The 14,292-nt window shown below is 46.0% G+C and overlaps 2 annotated features.

Moving 5' to 3' along the window:
- Positions 12,371-12,871: an enhancer, noted in NCBI's record as "H3K4me1 hESC enhancer chr11:11058891-11059391 (GRCh37/hg19 assembly coordinates)". NCBI's record gives its function as "activates a minimal SCP1, AML or CMV promoter by ChIP-STARR-seq in naive H9 embryonic stem cells {active_cell/tissue: H9 hESC(naive)}" and the evidence as "EXISTENCE:reporter gene assay evidence [ECO:0000049][PMID:30033119]".
- Positions 12,872-13,372: an enhancer, noted in NCBI's record as "H3K4me1 hESC enhancer chr11:11058390-11058890 (GRCh37/hg19 assembly coordinates)". NCBI's record gives its function as "activates a minimal SCP1, AML or CMV promoter by ChIP-STARR-seq in naive H9 embryonic stem cells {active_cell/tissue: H9 hESC(naive)}" and the evidence as "EXISTENCE:reporter gene assay evidence [ECO:0000049][PMID:30033119]".

Here is a 14,292-nt window from a genome sequence, read left to right as displayed (position 1 = left end):
AAGGATGTCTACTCTCACCATTCTTATCAACATAAAAACATGAAAGGTTGTACTGGAAGTTCTTGCTAGTGCAATAAAGCAAGAAAAGGAAAGAGAAGGGAAGGAAAAGGATAAAATTATCCTTATTTGAAGATGATATGATTGTCTATGTTAGAAATCCCAAGGAATCTGCAAAATAACCCCTAGAACTAATAAGCATATTCAGCAAGGTCACAGGCTACAAGGTTAATAAAAACTTACCATATTTTTATATACTAGTAATGAACACATGGATACAGATACTCAAATATAATACCATTTATAATAACCCACAAATATAAAATATTTACAGATAAATCTAACAAAACAAATGCAGGACTTATAAGCTGAAAACTACTGATGAAAGAAACCAAAGAAGAATTAAATAAATGAATATATTTCATATTCATGGATTGGAAGACTCAAAAAAGTAAAGAGGTCAATTCTCTTCAAATTGATACACAGGCTTAATGCAATTCTTACCAAAATCCCAACAAGATTTTTGTAGATAAAAGCATAATTATTTAAAAATTCAGATGGAAAGATAAAAGAAGTAGAATAGCTAAAACAATTTTGAAAAAGAATAATGTGAAATGAATCAGTCTATCAAATTTCAATATTTATGGCCTTGCTACTCTAATCAGATATCTGGTATTAGCAGAAGGATAGACACAGTGATCAATGGAAGGGATAGGTAACCCAGAAATAGACCCCACAAAATGCCCAAATGATTTTTGACAAAGGTGGATAAGCAATTCAATGGAGGAAAGATTGCCTTCTCAAAAAATGGTGCTGGAGTAATTGGACATCCAAAGACCAAAAAAAAAAAAAAAAAAAGAACGTTGACTGAAGTCTCATGTGTTACACAAAAATTAACTCAAAGGGGAGGAAGCAAGCAAGTCTGATGTGACTGCTTAGAGCAGCAGATCTCCCATCCCAATCCTTTTCCAGTGCCCACCAGAAGGTCACTAGGTCCTGGGTAGCATAAGACAGTGCACCTCCTGGTTACCTGGCTTTGTCCCAAAAGCCAGATGCAAGGTGAGGCCTCGGTTCCTTGGGTCAGCTTTTGAGGATGTGCAGAGTAGCAGAACACCTCTGGATTATCCATTTCTCTGCTGTCCAACTGAGGCAAGATGCAGAACAAAGCCCCTCCTCCAAGGACTAAATGTTGTAGAGGTGATCTGATCCTACACAGGTATCGTCTAATTCTATTTTTCAATCCCATTAAGTCCTCCAGCAATCCCTTAGTACCAGATTCTCTGAGGCACCTAATATTTTCCCCAGCTGTGCATGCTCCTGGCATATTTCATCAAAAGTGAGCCTGATGTGGGCCTCAACCTGGAGGTCAAAGGAGTCCACCATTACAGGTCATGGCTCCTAGAAATTGTTCCCAAGAGAAAGTCTACTGACCTTTGGTGACCTTGGATCCAAGTCAGAACACCCCCAGATTGTTGTGGGCAGTTTGGGGTGCTGTAACTTGAGTTGAAGATCAGCAGGCAGCTGTGTGTCCAGGAAGTCCCAGAACCCAGAAAAAGGTGAAAGAACCGCAGCTTCCTAACCTGGAGATAAGACTTGGTGCACAGTTTTTCTCTTCAGAAATCTGAGGGCTGCCATGGAGAAAGGGAATTGTGTTCTGTATGGCTCCCTGAGTGACAGATGGGACAGCCTAAAAGAAGACACAGATAATTTTTTTTCCCTAGAACTTCACAGTCATGAAATGGGCTGCCTGGAACAAGAGCAAGATCTGGAAGTCAGTGGAGATGTTACAGCTGATGGCTTTTGGAAGGAATGTTGTGGGGCTGGAATCTTAGAGAATTTACAGACTTTCACAACAGGGGTCAAACTAGAATAGAAAATTCTATGGATCCTTCCAGCACTAAATCTATGACTCCAAGAGGCCGGACCAGGGATGAGGCCTATTAGGAAGCCAGAATCCATGCTGCAGGTAAGGGTCTTCACCCACTGACCCTAACAAACCTGAGGGTCCACCCTAGAGAAATCCTAGAATCAGATCCTTACTTCCCCAGACCCAGATACCATTTTAAGAACTGCTGAAAGGGGAGGAAACCTCATCTGAGGAGAGCCCAGGCTGCTCTGCTACCAGGACACAGGCAGCTGGGTAGCTCTGAAGGGTCTTGAGTGAAAGGCCTCTATCAATCAGCCAGGTGCCATTAGAGCAAAGCCCTCTGGAGCTCCACGCAGCATCTCAACAGACCAGCTAAAACCAGTGGCTACTAAAGCCAGCTCAGATGACCCAAGCCCAGCCTGAACCACACTGGCCTGAGCAGAGACCACCTTGTACACACCCTTGCAAAAGACATATGCTGACTTGCTGCCCAGCCTCCTAACCCTGCCATCCAGCTGGTCATTGCCTTAAACCACAAGTTGGCAAAATTTTTCTTTAAAGACCCTGAAAGTAAGTATTTTGGACTTCGTGGGCCATATAGTCTCTGCTATAACTGCACAAAAGCACAGAGACATCATGTAAATGAATGCACGTGACTGTGTTCCAATAAAACTTTAGGTACAAAAACAGGGGTGGGCCAGATGGGACCAGCAGGCCATAGTTTGTCAACCCCTGATCCAAACTCATGACCACATTAGCCTGACAGGCTGGATTCTCCTGGACTCTGAGTTACCTCCATCACAGAGCCCTTCTCCTCTGTGCCTGGCCAATTTTCCTGCCTCTTTGGGGACTTCTGGCTCATTTGGGGCTGACAAAGACCAGAGAGCCCACCCCTGGATATCTCCAACCTCCTGATTCCTGCCATGCTACTCCTTGCCTCTTGCTGTATTCTCCAAGACACCCAGTGTCTTGCAGTTGTCCAAAGCTTCCCTCCACTCCTCTACCCATGCTGTTGCCCTGCCTGGACTGCCCTTCCCAACCCTCTTCACCAGCTGCCTCTCCCACCTTTAAGAAGCAGCTCAGCCATCTGACCTTCCAGGAGGCCTTCCTTGTACCACCTTCCCTCACTCTGCATCCCAGGCTGAGCCTAAGGCCCCCTCTTCTCCATTCTCATAATATTCTCTGCTTTCCCTGTTGTTTGAACATTGTCCATTGGTTGGCCTGCCTCTCTAATTAGGTTACGGATTCCTGGAGAACAAGAACAGTGCCTCACTCATCTATGTGTCCCTAGAACCCATCACAGGACTCAGCATAGATTCTCGGAAACAATTCGCCCAGTGGTGAATGTGTATCTCCTCATCTGCCCACATACCACCCTGGATCTTTGTGCAATCATTTCTCCACAACTGACTTCTGTTTCCACCCCTACCCCATCTGCATTTGTAATGCTTTCATTTAGCAGTCTCCTTAGAGGTCGGAGTCATGTGCATGCTTCTTCCTCCTTCTTCTCTGGACTTCAGGAGAGCTCCATCCCTCTGCCACCTCAGCTTCCCCACAGAGGTAAGCATTTCTTTAACAGATATAAATCAAAAATAAAATTTAAAGGCCCCCAACCATCTGAATGGGCTTCCTTCTCAGCCAGGGCTCTTAAATTTTAACCTGAAAGGCTGGTTCAGGCCATGAACGAAAGTGGGGGTCTGACATGCCTCATCATGCCTCTCTGGCACTAACGTCAACACAGACTTTAAGTCTGATAAGAAACATTGTACAACCTATTCTCGCTGAAGGCTTCTAGCTAAAAGCTTCATCTGCATGGTAAAATTTTGGTCTCCACAACCTCTTATCCCAACCCACACATTCCTTTCTATTGATCCCAGGCCTTTAGACAAATTCAACCAATTGTCAACTAGAAAATGTTTGAATTTACTTATAGCCTGGAAGCCTCCACTTTGAGTTGTCCCACCCTTCTGAACCAAACAAACGTATTTCTTAAATGTATTTGATTGATGTCTCATGCCTCCCTAAAATGTATTAAAAAAAAAAAAACAAGCTGCACCCCAACCACCTTGGGCACATGTTCCCAGGATCTCCTGAGGGCTGTGTCACAGGCAATGTGACATACTTGGCCTGGAATAAATCTATTGAAATATTTCACAGAGTTTGACTCTTTTCATCGACACAGAGATAATGAAGGGCTTGAAGTATTTCATCCCTGGGAATAAAGAAGAACTTTTCAAACCTGGGAGCATCATTACCACTAGAAGACACTCTGCTGGCTGCTAATCAAAAGAGCCCATGGATGCCAAGAGGCTGGCAGTGTAAGAAGAAGGAAAACTCAAACCTAGATCCCAGCTACAGAAAGCATAGTATTTGGGTGGGAAGTAGAAATGGTGAATTATAGCCAGGGAGAAAGCCAAAGATCCTGTTTTCTCCAGCCCCTCCTGGCTCTCAGCTCTCAAGCAAAACAGCTACACAGTCAGCTCTGGCCAGTCCTTGAGATTTCCCTGAGCAGGATGGGAAGAAGGCTGGGAGTCTCAGCCCCATTAGCAGGTGGGACCCAAGAGAACTCGGGACCACTGTGTTCTCACAGACTCGTTGGCTCCCCTGAGCTCTATCATGTTAATCTAGGTCATATGACTGGGCTTCTGCCTCTGTTTCCTGCCTAGCATGTCAATTATCTGCCGGAACTGGCTGTGCCCTGAGCCTCGGTCTCCGAGGCTGCAGCATGGCTCCTGGCCTAGCTCTTGCCATCATTTTCTCTGGGTTCCAGGATATGCCTCCTGTGCTCTGCTGTTACCACCCACTTGACACAGATGCAATGCCAACACACAAGAGGGGCTCATTAAAGGGCCATTCTGATCCTCTCCGGGCTCCCTGCTTTCCTGAGATGCCTGCTGCCCCTCCCCATAGGCCCCTGCACCAGATGATGCCAGCCTGCACCAGGCTTATTTCATTGGGGTACCTGGCAGCCACCACAGGAACTGGTCCAGTAACCCTGCCAAGCTCCAGTCTGATCAGTCCTGGCACCTCTCCTGCCCACAGGCCTGGTCCTGCTGTACCTCCACAGTCCTCCTACCAAGTTATCACTCTAGCTGTGCTAGAGAAGAAGAGGCAGGTAGGATCCTCCTCTTAAAGCATTTTAGGGACTATAACTGGCCCCTCAGGAAAGAGAGTTAAATCTTTGAGCTCTGAGGCTGTACCCCGGCAGCCCCTCCCACCTAGTTCCAGGGCCTAAGGCTCTCCTGGCCAAGCCAGTGAAGAGGCTTGTCCATCATGGCTCTACCAAGGGCTGAGGGGAGGTAGCAGGTGAGGTCTGCAGGCAGAGATTCCTGAAAGAGCCCAGGAGCACCAGCTGAGATGACCTGGGGAGTCCTCCCTTGGAACAGGGTTCTGCCAGGGACTGGTTACACAGAGTGAGCTGCATCCACCTCCCCCAGGCTGGAGCAGAGTGGGAAGGTGTTGGGGACAGGAGAGTGGGCAGGAAGTTAGCAAGACCCAGGGAGGGCTTGTGTACGAAGCTGCCCTTCCTGCCTCCCGCTGACCCAGCCCCTCCTCTCAGCCCAGGGCAGCTAGGTTAGAAGCAATAATTCCCCAGGAAGGGGAAGGATGAAACAACACCCAGGAATCCAGTATCACAGCCAGCATTATCTGAGAGAAGGCTGGAGAGGAGCACAGTACAGGGAAGGAGGCATGCTTCTGAGAGGCCAAGGTGGCATCACCAAGATGAAAATGGCCGCCTCTTACGGAGCAGTTTCCCAAGGCCTGGCACTGGGCTAGGAGGTTTCCAGACCTTACTTCACCCTGACCGCAACTCTTCTTGGCAGGCATACCATCCTCATTTTACAGTTGAGGGAAGGGAGGTTCTGAGAACGACCTCTCTAAGGCAGCACAAAAAGTGATGGGGTCAGAATTCAGCATTGCTCTGCCTGCCTCTGAGAGCAGCAAGACATGACCTCCCTAGAAAACATGTCCAAGAGGAAGGCAGGGAGTGGAGCCAGCCCAGGGAGGCAGGGCTGGCAGCATGGAGATGAGCAGATGGATCTGAGCAGTGTGTACCAGGCAGGCCTCCCCACGGAGGCCACTGCCTTGGGTGTGGCATGGGAGGGCAGGAGACAGAGAAACCCCAGGTCCCCAAGATAACTGGGGCAGAGGGACCAGTAGGTGGCCAGCCTCTAAGCAGGGGTATCCCGTGAGCGCTGCCACCCAAAAGCAGTGCCTGAGACCAGCTGTTTGGGATGTCAAGTGTCCGGCTTTGATCTCCATCCTCCTTCTTTCCTCTCCTGTTATCTTTCTCTTCTAGAATGTTCTCCCTCCTCCTGGTGCCCTGAGTTCCTGGAACATAATCCAGACTCTGAATCCTCCTTTTGGCAGCATTTCATCAATTAATCTTTCATCCACACTGATCCCCTGAAAAATGACTTCCTCATTATCCATCTTGCAGTTTCCACTTGGCAGCCTGAATGGTAAAGCATCTGTCAAGTTCAGATTCTCTATGGTGCAGTGGGAAGAGCCAGGGCTTTGGGATCAAACCGACCCGAGAAGAGGCCCAGCTCTACCACTCTCCAGCTGTGTGCCCTTGGGTGAGTCACTTGACTTCTCTGAGCCTCAGTTTCCCCATTTGTAAACAGGTTGAAAGCACACGCTTCATGGGGTTATTGAGAAGACCAAATGACACAATTCATCTGAGATTTTTTGCAAACTGCTATACAGGTGTAAAGCCTGTTTTGATTATTACTGTTTTTCACTGGTTCCCAGGTGGACTGAAGCTGATCTCCAGCTTGTAGGCCTCAGAGAGGCAAAGCTAAGATCACAGGCTTAAGAGGTATCCTCAAATGCTCCTCGTCACCCCACTGGCCAAAGAAGTCACAGCATGCCCTGCAAGGCAAAAGCCCAGATATGACTGAGGCTCAAAGTGAAAGCCAAAATATAGGGGGCTCATCTCAGCTGCAGAAATATAGAAGTATGAAAAAAATGTGCAACCTTGCTCATGATAGAAAAATGAAGATTAAAACTATATCGAGACTTGATTTCTCATCAGCCAATCAGCTAAAATCCAAGTTAGACAACAAATTCTATTGGTGAAACTCAGGGGGAACAGGCATTCTTTACATTGCTGATGGGAATGCAAAAGGTACAGCTCCTATGGAGGAGAATTTGGCAATATCTAGAAAAACTACGTACTTATTCATCTTTTAAGCTAGAATCCCACATCTAGGAGTCAAAGGAACACTTGTAAAACACAAAAGGATAAAAAAGTAAAGGAACATTTATTCATTGCAGCAGTATTTATAAAAGCAAAAACTGGAAATCACCCAAACACCCTCATCCAAAGGGGACTGGTTCATTATATGATGGTGGGTCCGTGTGAAGGGGCATGAGGCACCTGTGGAAAGCAACAAAGATCTCTAAGTAATACTGTGGAGTGTTTGCTACAACAGGGTAAGTGAGGAAAGCAAGCTGGAATACAGTGTATACAGTATTATTTTACCATTTATCTAAGCAAGAGGGGATATGTATACCTATTTGCCTATAGTTTTCAAAAAAACCCACAATGAAAGGAGAGTTGGACTCTTTATGCCCGTCTTCCATTCATAGGCCACCCCTTGGCTCCATCCAGCCACTACTATAGCTGTAGGTGTACTATAGCTGTGCACACTTGCAGCCTGACACAGCCCCTTCCTTGCCCAAGCTGCACTGTATATATCTCCTGCAGGTTTCTCTGAGATGTCTCAGCCACTGCTGACAACCTCTTTGGCTTATGAGCACACTTGGAAGTCCAAGGGCGTTAACACCCCCAGGGCAATCCTTGATCAACAGGGAACAAGAACACACAGGGGCAGAGGATCAATACTCTCATCTTCCTGTCCTGGACAGGCGATCCTCAGGCACATTCTGCATGGTTCCTCAGAAGGTCCTCTGTGGGCCTGAGCCCCAGTTGCCCATTGTCATCAGCTCAACAACACCTTCTTAGCTTGGCATTCCTTCCTTTTGTTTCCCTCTTCCACAGTCTCTCATGACTGTCTCCTGGGGTCACGTCCCCAAATTAATTACCCGCACGCATCCATTGTCTCAGACTCTGCTTTGTAGAAAAACCCAAACCATGGCAAGGGGTAAACCATTAAAAAAACGTTTTTTAATGATTACTGATAGGGGCAGGAGAGACTAAGGTGGCAAAAACAGGAATAGAAATTATATTTTATAAATACAGTTTACATTTTAGACTTGGGTTTTGAAGCATTTAAATATTTTACGTAATTATAAAACACAATTACATTTCAAAAGGTAATTCCTAAAATCGAAAGTAAAATGAAACAAATCTAAATGTTTACAATGTTGGAGGCATAATCACACAGAAAAGAACTATTCCAAGTGCCTTTAAAAGGTGTTTTAAAAATGAAAAATAATCTTAAACTCTCTTCAGTAGTCACATTGTTAGTGGTAGGGTCGCTATTGCTATTCTGAGATTGTTGTGTGTATAGTTATGAGATAAAACAATAAGCTATTATACTAATGTCATTGACAGCCTGGATTTTTAACATGAGTAAAAGAAGGTACAGGTATAAGGTTGATGATATTTTTAAAAACCTGCAGTTACGCATTTGAGTTACAGCTATCAATTTTTATAAACCTCAAAGTATATGTTATCTTTAAAAATAAACACATATTTTCCAGTGCCATCTCTTTATAGAGCCAAGAAACAATGATTAAAATGATTAGAAAGAGTGTTAACAAAAACCCTAGTGCCCAAATCGGAGTTCTTTAAAACCATTTCCCACTTAGAAAAAAAAAAAACAAAACAAAAGCGAGAATTCTTGGAGAAATGGCTCATTCCAGATTACGGGAAGGAATGTACAAGATGAGCCTGGAACATTTTGTCATACCAGAAAGCAAAGAAGCTTCAAAAGACTCTTAGGCTTGGGGTAAAGGGTCTGGAGACCCTTGAATAAATTCTTCATGGTCAGCCAGTGATGGGGTGGACAATACGAGCACCAACAGGGATAAGCACCCCCATGGACCGAACCGTATCAAGTGTTTACACTTTCCAAATTGGTAAATAAATAAAAAAAAAAGAATCCAGCATTTTTTCCTGCCTTTCCTATATGACTGTACTTCAGGATAATTAAATAGCTCATAAAGGGAAACTTCTCTCCATAGATGTAATAATTTAATAAACAAAGAAGAAATGGTAGAAGTAAACTATCATCATTTTGCAATCCAGCCAAAATGAATTGACAGATCCAGCCAATGATTTTCAATAGTTGTAACATCACAGAGTATGAGGCACTTAGATGTTATGTACTTCTTGATGGTCTAAACTCAAACCTGGATCTGACCAAACTTATGGATCTACCTACCAAGCTAGGGTAAATACAGAAGACAGAGGAAGGTGTTAATAACACCACAGGAAGACAAGCAGCAAAAGTCAGCCTGTAGGAAACTACAAGGCATACGACTCTCTTTCTTCAACAAATAAACTTTAAAGAAAAACTGAAGCAAGACTTGAGAGACATCAAACAATTGTAGCATACGGACCTTATTTGGATCCAATTAGGCTTGGCATGAACGTCAAAGACAGGACTTGGCTTTGACCATGCTCCACAATGTACAACTGAGGTCGTGACTTTTCTGTGCTGGGAATCAATAGAGGCCTATTGGGGAAACCCTTGGCCAGTATTCGTGTTCCCTGGCCCTTCAATCCACTATCCCGTACCCCTGCCACGCCCTCCAGCCCTCTCACTGCTCATGGCATCAGCCCTGAACTGTGTGTCCTGCTCCACGGCCTTTATCCCATCCTGTTCTTCACTTCTGCTGTTTACAGGCCTCATTGTTCATTCTCCTGTTTCTGACTTCATCCATCTCTCCAGAAGCGACACGCAAGACTACCATCTCACTGAGTCCTGGGCTCCCCCGCCACATCCTCCAATCCAGCTCCTCCCTCCAACCATGCTGCCTCATTTGCTGCTTTGAGTTAATGACATGCCAGTGGCCCCCCAATCTCCAAACTCCATAGGTCACTCACTACACAGCTCACTGGGCCCATCAGTGCCACCCGGACAGTCCATAAACTCTTCTGACTGCACCCATTCTCTCTACACTTTCAGGGAGTTGCAGAACGTCAGAGTGAGAACTGTCCTGCCTCTGCTGATGGATATTAGTCCTAGGCTCCAAGAGAGCCTCCATCCAAGGAGTCTAACAGATAAAGCCTCCACCGTGCCCATCAGCATGGACTAACTGAGGCCTGGCCCAACAGAAGTCAGGAATGATAGGGACAATGGGCTTCTATTCATACATTTACAGAAGCAGCCAGACATGTTCTAATAATTCCCCTGAGTTATCTTTCACCCCAGGTTAGCTGTCTTGGTGGGGGTTAGGACAGAGACATTGGCCTCTAACCCTTTGCAGAACTTAGGACAGAGGCTTTGGGGATGGGATGGGGACCCCATCTAGGGACATTAAGCTCGGGTGAGTCATCCAGCCCCAGAATGAGAAGTCCATTTTCAGACTTAAAAGAGCCTCTTCAGCGCTAACCAAAGAGACAAGCAGCCCCTGGTTGAAAATAAACAATTGTTAGGGCTAGATGCCTTGTACTTGTGTGTTCTGTTTCTCATTTTTAAAAAATGCAAAGTGACTCAATAATTTATATTAGAAACTATGATAACACAGGCCAAAAGGAAAGGGAATAAAAAGTAAGCATTCTTCTAGGAGAAAAACATAAACAAAGCAACATAAAAAGCAAGTTGGCTTTTGAAGCCAGCCATGACTGTGAGGAAGTTTGCCCTTCCTCCTGCCATGGTACTCCTTTGGGAAGCTTCTGTCTTCTGGACGGAAAGGGAAAAGGTCTTTGGGTAGCCACTATGGGGAAGGTGTTGTGCTGGGTGTATAATCCCGACAGTGCTGAGCAATAAGCATTTCTGTTTCCATCTCACTGATTTAGTACTGAAGCTTGAGGAGGTCATGTGGCTTGACCATTGTCACCTGGTAAAATGAGAAGGAGCCAGCACATGAACCCACATCTGTCTGGCTCCAAATCTCCTGCTTCTTATTTAACTCTTTGCTGCCTCTGGTACAAATCAGAATACCTAATTCTCCCTTCCCACAAGAGCCCTTCACAGTTTCAAAAACAACCGCCAGCTCCCCTCCTCTTCCCTGCTTCCAGACCAATGTTTCGCAGCCCAAATAGTCCCAGTCCTGCATCAGTCAGCATGACATGGCTTCATATCTTTGCATCTTTCTTCTCTGAATATGTTCCAATTTGCCCAAATCCCCTTAAACATGTGAGGCCCAGAAGTGGACATGGATTTTCAGATCTGGACTGATGGGCTGACCAAAGCAAAGCCTGCAGGGATTATCTTCCCCTTTGATCTGGAATCGAAGCTGACGGTAGCACAATTTAGGATAGATTCATTAGCTTTGCTGACAGCCACAACACATAGCTGGCTCATAATGAGTGTTCACTCAGCTAAAGCTCCCCAGAGCTTTGCACCCTGGCCTCTGCTAAGCCAGCTTTCCTCGTCCTACACTTGAGCAATTTGTTGTTTGGAGCCTTCATTCAGGATTTTCTCATTATTGATTTCAGTTCCACTCAACAAACACCTGCTGAGCTAGGCACAAGCGCAGGTTGCTGGGGAGCTGGGAGGCGCAGGCACCATTGAGCTCTGCACTGCTATTTTCTACCCCTAGCCCTGCTCAGAGTTCCTCTGGGCTCCCCTGCATCCCCGCTCTGAGGGCCTGGCACACACTGCACTCTTCTCCCAACAGTTCCTTTTGCCTTCCTCAAGAGCAGAGCCACACCTTGAAAATTGCCAGGTCCCTGGAGTAGTTTTTGAGTGACCAGAGCTGTGCCAAGCAGGGTATTTTTGTTAGTGAGTGAGCAGCTGCCCAGAACATTTCAGGAGATGATTTACTCCTTCTCTCAGAGCTGCTTATACCAGAGCTCTCTGTTCCTATCACAGCCTGTACCTCCCATGAAAACCCTGTCACAGTTTCTGATCTGAGAGGAGCCTGTTTGCCTGAAGGAAGAAAAATTCTCTGTTTCTTTCTGCCAGGTTTTCTCGCTTGTCCAGGATGTGTCCCCCTGGCCTGGAAATGGGGGTGGAAGTGTAGGGGCTATTAGCTGACCCCAGCCTGGATCCTGCCCAGCAGTTTGTCTGCAGCTGGAGGGGCCATGTCCTTGGCCCCTACCCTCTGACAAGCTGATAGTGCCTGGGCTTAGTTATGAAGCATTCAACCCCATGAGGCCGGGAGACCGTAGGATAATTCTGGCCCTTTCCAATTCCTTGACCCAAAGCTTGCATTTTAGCTAAAATGTCTTGCAACTTGGTTTGGTGCAAATGGTGGCTGCATGGTATTGTGACAAGAGCTCTAAGCTGGGAGCCAGAGACCTGGGTCTGGGTTCAAACTCTACCACTCACCAGCTATGTGACCTGGGTCTGGGCCTCAGTTTCCTCATCTGCCACAAGAGGGCTGACATATAGACTCTCCAAAGGCTCTTAACGTTGCAGTATTATCTAGTAGTGTGGGTTGTGAGCATGGCTAAGGAGCCAGAGTGCCTGGGTTCACCCCAGCTGTGGCATTTACCAGCTGAGTGACCTGAGGCAAGTTACTTAGGTTATTTAAACCTTACTTCCCTCATCTGTCCATGGGGATAATACTAGTACTTACCTCCTAGGATTCTTATGAGGATTAAAGAAGCACAAAAGTGCTTACAGTGGTGCCAGGCACATAGTAAATGTGCAATAGCTGTGGTAGTGTTCTTGTTTTTATCACTAAGTACCAAGCTGAGTCTAGCCTTAGCTATCAGGGATGGGGCTTCCTGTAGAAGCAGCTGTACTGGCAGCATTGTGTCTTCCTTCATCCTGACAGAGTCTGTGAAGTCAGTTACTACAACAGGAAAACCAGTGACCTCAGAACCAAAGTTCACTTGAAGCCCCCTCCAGCCCCAGCCTCAGCCCAGCCCAGCCCTGGACCTAGCCCAGGCCTGAGGCTTCCCAACCAGGCCCAGCCCCAAACTCCCTCCCTCCCAAGCTCAGGCAGACCCCTGGGCCTGACGGGTGGGTTAGCACACTTGGGCCCCCAAGTCCCGAATCACCAGGCGATTAAACTTGCCTTTTATTGTGGTCCTGAGGATTATAAACAAGCAGGCCTGACATACGGGTCATTCCTGAGACTCCTGCTTCATTGGCTTTAAGGCCCCCTTGGCGGTAAAGAATTTCAAAGCTGCTAACACCATAGTATATTAAAGTGGAATAAATTCCTCTGAATGGTCCTCAGGTGAGAACCAGTGCTGAGCAAATACCTCCTGGTTTCCTCTTGTAGAACCCAAGACTGACCCCTGGTGGTCTGTAAGACCTGCTGAAGCCCAGACTTCACCATGGTCATCCTTGAGAACCTTCTGTGTCTGAATCTGGTGTTCTCTCTTTCTCTCTCTCTCTCTCTCTCTCTTTCTCTCTCTCTCATCTATTAGAACTCTCTCTTTCTTTGTTCTATCAAAGAAAAGACAGAAGTCATTTCCTGAGTCCCTTGGGGGTGGGAATGGCATTGGAGGGAAAGCTTCAAAGCCAGTGCTCAAAGTAGAGTGGCAGAATATACCGTCCTGCCCTCACCCTCTGCACAGACATCAGAGTCCCACTTCTGGCACATAGCCAGGCAACCATCACTGGGCTCATGCTGCACACCCTGCTTTAAGGCCAGGACCAAAGAGCTTGGTCCCAGGCTGTGTCTACACAACCTATGCCTTCAGGGCCAGTGTCTAGACAACCTGCATCTCAATAATCCAATCTGCATACCATGCTTTTGTAACTCCTGTATGTGAAGTTCATATCTCTACAATCCAATTTCTGTACACTGTATGTCTCTTTAACATTTGTCTCTACAATGTATCTGTACACTCCATGTCTGTACAACTCCCCTGTACATAATCCTGTCCTGGGAAGCACATATCCACACAACACACTCATGCTGTCACATGGGTTTCTGCACACAACATGTCAGGGCAGAGAATGGATGACCAACCAGGAGGAGTTTTGCTTGTGGCTCATTTTGAAAAGAACGCCTTCCTCCTCAATTCATACTCCAGGATGGTGACCGCAAAAGCCATCTGGATTGTTCCTCCAGAAATGGCTCATTTATCTCAGGACTTCATAAAGAAAAGAAAAAGTTAAATGAGAAGAGCTAAAAACCTTACTGAGAAATGGCATGAAAAAGAGATTCTCTGTTATGTTTTTGAGGTAATCAAATTCACTATATTTTACTTGTAAAATAAACTTTGAAAAAAAACCTATCTCCAGCTATGCTTCTCTTTTAAAGTAGTTCACACTGTCCGTTTCTACTAATTGAGTTAATTAGCACAGTATCAGTGATGTCATCATCACAAAGGTTAAGGTTAAGGTTAAGAAGGTTAAGGTTAAGGTTAGGTAAGGTGAAGATCA

This window comes from Homo sapiens, chromosome 11, assembly GCF_000001405.40.
Source record: "Homo sapiens chromosome 11, GRCh38.p14 Primary Assembly".
Taxonomy (NCBI): domain Eukaryota; kingdom Metazoa; phylum Chordata; class Mammalia; order Primates; family Hominidae; genus Homo; species Homo sapiens.
Note: the sequence above shows the minus strand (reverse complement) of the source record. Positions and strands in the feature narration are given on the sequence as shown.